An 8,053-nucleotide genomic window follows, 5' to 3' on the forward strand; every position below is an offset into this window, starting at 1 on the left:
TGAGTTAAGAGACATAAGTTTCAGATTCTAGACCTAAATTGCCATTAGATAACAATATTATCTTTGGGAAAACCCTAAACTCTCCATTTTTCACATTTCTTCTTTGTAAAATGGGTAATAAAACCCAAGGATGTTATAAGGATCAAATGAATTAACGTAGATAGAAAAAGTTTCTGAGAACGGCAAAGTGCTGGTTAGTGTAACGTATGAGGATATTGCTGACTGGCCTTCCCCTTCCCCCCACAGGTTCCGCCTGCTTTAAACTCTCTAGCTGTGTCCCCAGCCCTCCCCGGATGTCTTCCAGTTCATTGCTTACTGTTCTCACATTCACCATGCTGTAAATGTGGTTCTGTTAACCTTCCTTCCCACAACTACCTCCTGTTGCCACATTGCGTGTCCTCATTCCTTTCCTCTCAAGACCTCTTTCCTGCTCTCTGTCAACCCATAACCAAGCTCAGCTCCTCCCAGAAGCCAGCCCTGAGCAGAGCCCTGGACAGGGAACATTCCCTTGCTCCTAATACTGCTTTACATATGCACCCTCCTCTAGACTGATCTATGATCTGGATACTGACATATAGCAGAGCTTCTGCCTCCAGAAATGTGGAATATATTTCAAGATTCCCCACAGAAGATTGAAGTAAAAATAAAATGAGGATAAAGAATTTCATTAAGGCCTCCCCAGGCGGGGATGCTGGGGCTTGGCAGCGGGCTGAAGCAGCTCAAGGGCAGCACTGAGTACTCAGGACTCCACTCGGCTCCCTCTTGGCACCAAGATGCCAAGAAAGCTGATGCAATGACCTAGGGTAAAAGTCAGATCAAGGAACCAGAGAGACCACTTCCTCCCTTAGGTCCTGTGGCAGTTGTTCCTATAGGTTGTGTCACCATAGCCATCCATGCCAAACCTGGCTCCAAACAAAATACTGTAACAGATTTGACAGCACAGTTGGTAAATGTGGCTATTGCAGCACCTCCATCAGTGGGGGAGGATAATGCTGAGCTTTGTAGCTTATCTGTCCAAGGTCTTAGAACTCAGGAAGAGTGATGTGGTTTTGGATACGGGTGGTACATCGCTGAAAAGGTAGTGAAGCTTTTGGCCTCCACAACTCCAGAAGAAATCTTGAGGAAATTTAAAAAGAAAGCTGAAAAACAAAGCAAGAAATGGAAAATACATCCTTGAGAAACTTTTATTGCTAATGATGAAGAGGCTGTTACAAGCACATTCAAATATATATATATAAATTTGAATAAGACTCCAAAAAGTAGACATTTAAAAAGTAATATATGTTGAACACAGGTTCTAAAATCCCTGACCCCAAACAGCCTGGAGCATGTTACTCTGATTTCATGGCATTATAAAATAACAGAGCTGGAAAGAATATTCAAAGTGACCTGATTTAACACCTTTCATTCTCTGGTGGGGCTTCTGATATCCAGGAGTTGACAGACTTGTTCAAGATCATAACATGCAAGATGGTGACTAAAACCCAACGCCCTTGACTCCTTGTCAAATGCAGTTTATCCTGCTTGTAAATTAAAATTACCATATCTCCACAACAGTTCTGGAATTCTGGGGATTGCGTTCTAATCCGGTTTACAAGTGACAGAAAATCTGTTACACTGCTTTGTAGTGTTACCTTATATTTTAAAATGCTTATCTAAATGAAAAAAATAATTTTTTACATCTTTTAAAGACTATATTGACCATTTTGTAAAAAAAGTAATGAAAAATCATAACTTGTAATTAAAAGTGAATTATAATTTTTGAGAAAAAAAGAATTTCATTAAATGAAAGCTATCATGAATTTGCTTGACAGGAAGAAAATCTCTTCTTCACATGTTTCTAGGTTGAGTTTCCCATCCCTGTAAAGAAGCTGTGCTGAGCTCTGTACCCTGTACTCCCAGTACATGTCAATCACACACCCCATTTCCTTCAGTTCTAATACGGGCAAGGGCCTGTGCTTCATGCTCTGGAGAGATGTTCCCTAACTTTATGTGTCATTATCCCCTAACACGCTAGGTGCTTCCTCCCCAGGGTGCCTTTCGCCCTGGACCTGGAACACCACTGTCTCCTAAATCCTTTCCTCACCCGATCTTCAAAATCTCAACCAAACCCAACCTCCTGGAAGTGTCGGACTTTTCAGCCTTTTCTTCTGAATTCTTGTATTCATAGTGTTTGGTAACACAGGATGAATTATTTGATACAGGATTTGGTGTTGTTCTTTGCTATACCCTGTGTGTCAGATCTGTCTCCTCACCTCCCTACAGCTTTTCCAAGGAAGGATCTGTGTCTTTTGCTCTTTCTGGAGCTCTTGCTGTGCTCAGGCCGCTGCTGCAGGCATACTAGGGAACCAAGAAACACTTCTTCCTTAACTGTTTTTTAAAAGGGAATAGAAGCCCTATTCTATTTTGTCAGGTGCAAGGTAAACCAGAGACGTAGTAATTCTCACAAAGCAGCAGAGACTCTGATTACATGAGCCTAGAAGCAAGCAAAAACGAGTGACAGACGGAAATAGAAAATGGAAGATCAACAAAGGGTGCTTAAATAAGTGAGTTTAGCATGAGATGGAAGTGAAAATATGGAGGCTGACTTCTTCTAGGAGTGTGTGGGAGTTTGAGAGACCCCGAAAGTGAGATAAGTAAGTCAAGAGCAGAGACCGCAGAGAAGATTGTGTTTCCATGGCGAGCTCCTGGCCTGGAGCTCCATCATTCAACTGTGAAATGGGTACAGTGTCATTCTCACACTCCTACTTTAAGGACTTTTGCAAGACCTAATTATTTGTTATTCATAAAGGGCTTTGAACTCTTCACATGAAAGACACCAAGAGAAGTTCAAAGGATGAGTCAGTATCATTATTAGCTATAGTTCAACTCAAAGAGAGGAAAAAATATGACCATTTTCAGTGCACCTGTCATCTTGGTCTTTTTTATCATTTGTAGGATTTTTGTCACTAAATCAGAATTGCTCTTCATTACTTTTTCACTGGCAATTAAAAAAATATCAAAATGGAACTTGTAACAAGGAATCTGAATACTGATTTTTGCTCTCTATAAAAAGGTAAAACATGCGTCTCAGAAATATCTCAGGAATACTTTTCTCTTTAGACTATCTGCAAGAATTTCAGGGAATAGGTGACTTTACTGCCTTAGAAAAACTGGAGCTCAGAGAAATGGAGGAAGAAGGTAAAACTCACCAGTTTTAAATGTTGATTTTTTTTCTTTTTTACACCAATTGCCAAACCTCCAAACTGCCAAAATGATGGAACACTTTTTTTTAAGCTGAAGCTCTGAATAAAACTATCGTTCTCATTATCAAAATGCTGCCAACAATAAATCCTGACATATATTCTCTCTCTCCTTCTATCCACCACCCCCTTGCCCCCGCCAACAGCACAGTCTTTGGGAGGTGAGTTTCTCAAAGTTCCAATGGGACTGGAGTTTGATCATTTTCTTTGCTGTTCTGGCTCAAGCTTTCTTTGGGGTTTGTTTTCCATCATGGGCTGATGTCTGTGGGTCATGTCCTTCTCTTGCTGAGGTCTCTGCCTCTGGCTTTCTTTATTTCTTGCCTTTTTCTTGACCTGTTTGCTTTCAGGAATACCTTTACTGAGAATCTGCTCACTTCAATCTTTAACAAAACGAGAATTAGGACCAACCACAGTCATTGCTCTCACTTCTTTCTAGCATTTCTCCTTTCTCTCTGACATACATTAGTTCATTCACCAAAGTGAACATGTGTGTTGGAGTTGCAAATGGAGATTAGGGATGAGCAAAAGGTGTCAGCTACTCAAACACCCTACTTCCTTCTCTGTCTTAGATTATTCCTTCCTGGGAACCTTAATATGAATTTTTAAATAATGTTTAAAGATGACAAGTGGAGAATAAGTTGGCTTGAAAATAAACTGCCAAACTGGAATACTTTCTGCTCTGTCTGCCAAAACTGGGAGTTGAGAGGGCTCTACACATCATTATCCTTCCACAATAGCAGATGCTGTCTAAACAACAAAAGGAGGTGAGGTGGCCCACCTGGATGGACTGCTGGGTAATCCATATTGTCCCTGATCCAAAAGAGTCATAGGATCTTGAACTGTGCTATGGGCTTATTAGTAATTCACCAGAGGCTTTGTGTCCATATTCATTGTATTCACAAGTATTCTTTAAGGGACTTTTCATCCCATAGCGATAATTGGGTACCACATGACTACTCAATCTAAAATATCTTAAATGTGTGTTTAATAATTCCTCTCTTTCTATAAATTATTTCTCCAGAATTTGTTGTTGGTTTTTGTTGTTGTTGCCAGGGGAGTATATTATATAATATAAACAACAAAAGGACCCCAATTTCAATAATACTTCCTTAAACAATTTAAAAACAACCCTTAATACTCAGAGAGATACAACGGATAGTAGCAGTGAGAAATGGACCTTTTAAAAGACTCCATAATATTCTTCTTTCTTTATTCTCTGGCTCAGAATTCTATTTCTAAGAGAATCTCTATCTAAATCTTCCATTTTAAACACACATACACATGCAAATACCCCCTCCACTCTCACACTCTATACACAGATAAGCATGGTACTTCTTATTAGCTTCACTTTTAATACCAGTCCTTATTTTCAAATTTCCTCAGATGTTATTTGTTCCCTTACAAAACACTATACTCATCTCTGACTATTCACCCATAACCAAACATTTGAAAACAAATTACTCAACCATTATATCCAGCACTAGAGTGGAGATGGGTGACCTATATTCCGATCCCAGCTTTGCAAATAATTAGTTTTGTGACCCAGAATAATTCACTCTCACTAAGTCTAATTTCTTCATCAGTAAAATACAGAACATAACTGTCTTGTCTATTTGCAAGGTCGTTGTAAGAAATACTTGAAAACTGAATATGAATTTGAAGTAGAATGCTTATTATTGTCCATATCTACCTTATGGCATCTCTGCTTCTGCCATCCTCTCTGATAGTGTCTCTGCTGATTGCCACTTCTCCCACTTATTATTCACTCTTTCATTTATTGAACACATATTTATCATATACCAACTCTACGCCAGGCAGTGGAAACTCACAGATGCACGGAGAAGGCTGGCATCTCAGCTGAATATAGCACCCCTATATGAGAAGTACCCAAAATTCTGGAGGGCACCTACCCCAGAGGATGAAAACATAAAAGGATTCAAAGCAGTTCATCAGCATATACACAGAACGGACATGTGCCTTATCGTGCTTTCCATCTCAGTCACTCACCATTCATTCCTCTTTCCCAGTAGGATCTTCTTGGAGGAATTTGCTCTTTCTTCATTGGCCAAGGAGCAGACTCAACCAATGCTGACTGGGTTCTGACCTAACACACAAAATTTGTTCTATGGTGGCAGAGAGCCTTTAAATAGTAGTAATTTACTGATTATTGACACGGCCTTTGACCCAGCTTTCTCTGACATAAGACTGTTGCAATCATTACACGTCTTGCTCCTCCAGAACTGGCTCCATTTCTACCCTCTTCCAAGCCTGGTTCTCAGCCTTTTATGTGAATTAGCAACATACTACACTAAATATGATTTTTCCTTTAGGAGCTGGAGTTGCCTACAACACAACAAAACTATGTGTTAAAAAAAATACACCTATATGCTAAATGTACTGTGCCTTTGTGAATATATCTGAAATATACAAGCCTAAGGTCTCAATCCATATTTATTCATTCAACCAACAAATATTCATCGAGCATAAACTATGCATCTGACACAGTACCAGCTCACAGACAGGAGAGGAGGACAAACAGTTAACAGGTAATTAGAAAGATAATGTGTGGGAAGGAAAAGAAGCTCCTAATGAAGACTGTGGTGGCAGACTGGAACTGAGAGAAGACTTTCCATGAAGAAGTCATATTTTTCCTCAGACACAGGGGATGAGGAGGAGTCTGCTGGTTAGAGGGAATGGGGATGGAGTTCTAAAGCGAGGGAACAATAGGTCCCCCAAGGTAGAAAAGCATGTGCACAGCTTGTTCCTCTCCATTTCGTGCATCACCAAGCTGCAGAGCAAAGGGATAACAAGAGGAAGCTAGGAAGTAGAGTGTTATTCCTGGTCTTACAGCTAATTCACTGTGAACTTGAAAAGACAATTACTTTTTCAAAAAAATGCAATAGTTTTGGGATACCGGTGGTTTTCAGTTACTTGAATAAATTCCTTAGTGGTGATTTCTGAGATTTTATTGCACCTGTCACCTGAGTAATGTACACTGTACCCAATATGTAGTCTTTTATCCTTCAACCCCTCCCAACATTTACCTGCTGAGTCCCCAAAGTCTACAACATCACTTTTATGCCTTTGCAGCCTCATAGCTTAGCTCCCATACATAAGTGAGACTATAGATATTTGGTTTTCCATTCCTGAATTACTTCACTTAGAATAATGGCCTCCAGCTCCATCTAAGTTGCTGCAAAAGACATTATTTTGTTCCTTTTTATGGCTGAGTAGTATTCCATGGTGTCTATATACCACATTTTCTTTATCCATTCATTGATCAGTGGGCACTTAGGTTGGTTCCATATCTTTGCAATTGCAATGTGCATGTGTCTTTTTCATAATGACTTCTTTTCATGTGGGTAAATACCCAGTAGTGGGATTCCTGGATAAAATGGTAGTTCCACTTTTAGTTCTTTAAGGAATGTCCATACTGTTTTCCATACTGGTTCTACTAATTTACATTCCCACCAGCAGTGTAAAAGTGTTCTATTTTCAGCACATCCAAGCCAACATCTATTATCTTCTGACTTTTTAATTATGGTCTTTCTTGCAGGAGTAAGGTGGTATTTCACTGTGGTTTAATTTGCATTTCCCTGATGATTAGTGGTGTTGAGCATTTTTTCATATATTTGTTGGCTGTATGTACATCTTCTTTTGAGACATGTCTATTCATGTCCTTTGCCCAGTTTTTGATGGTATTATTTTGTTTTGTTTGTTTGTTTGTTTTGCTTATCTGTCTGAGTTCCTTGTAAATTCTGGATACTAGTCCTTTGTCAAATGCATAGTTTGTGAATATTTTCTCCCACTTTACGGGTTGTCTGTTTACTCTGCTGATTATTTATTTTGCTGTGCAGAAGCTATTTAGTTTAATTTGCCATCATGTATTTACTGCTGTTTTTGTTGCATTTGCTTTTGGGGTCTTAGTCATGAATTCTTTACCTAAGCCAATGACCAGAAAGATTTTTTTCCAATGTTATTTTCTAGAATTTTTATGGTTTCAGGTCTTAGATTTAAATCTTTGATCCATCTTGAGTTGACTTTTGTGTAAGGTGAGAGATAGGGATCCAGTTTCATTCTTCTACACGTGGCTTGAAAAGGCAATTACTTTTGTATGCCTGTTCCCTTGTCTGTGAAATTAGGTTGGAGAGAAACATAATACGGATGGTTTCTATGATTTTATGATTTTGTATATGTCTAATGTCTAGTATTAGATGAATAAATGATAGGGCATCAGTCTCCTTTCTGCTGCTGCCTATGACATGAGAAGATGATATAGGTACAGAAAATTTGCAGAAGTAAAAAGAGGACACAAAGGTTTGGATGAGTGGAGTGTAAAAGGAAGAAAGGCAGAAAGTTGCCAAAGATGCCTGCACTGGTTTTTGGTTTATCAATAACTAATCCTACACAGTATTTGTTTCTTTCTTGCTTGCTATTCATTTTAAGACAGCACCTTTTTCATATTGCTTACACAATGCATTATATCTGTGTGTGGTGTGTCTCTGTGTTTGTAGTCCTGTGCTTTTTTTTTTTTAATACTAATTTTTAAAATGGAATGCCGTTATAAGTAGGCCCAATGCCTCAAATCATATCCAAAAATTGGCAGAGTTGGTGATTCAGCATAACTGATGTGACCTCATTGGATGAATTAATTACCAAAAATCCTACCCACCTGTTTAGAGAGGAATTCTCTGGGAAGTAGGGGGCAGTCAGCCAAGAAATCTACCTGTTGGTCATCAGTGAAGATGTGCATTTTCTCAGTTCATAGTCCTTTGCCCCTAACACCATTCTTCTCTGAATGACTAAAGAGA

The 8,053-nt window shown here is 39.1% G+C and overlaps 1 pseudogene; it reads left to right on the forward strand.

Annotated features, from left to right (window-relative positions):
* Positions 673–1,071, forward strand: LOC100301521 (chromosome 15 open reading frame 40 pseudogene; annotated as a pseudogene).

This window comes from Homo sapiens, chromosome 18 (genome assembly GCF_000001405.40).
Source record: "Homo sapiens chromosome 18, GRCh38.p14 Primary Assembly".
Classification (NCBI taxonomy): domain Eukaryota; kingdom Metazoa; phylum Chordata; class Mammalia; order Primates; family Hominidae; genus Homo; species Homo sapiens.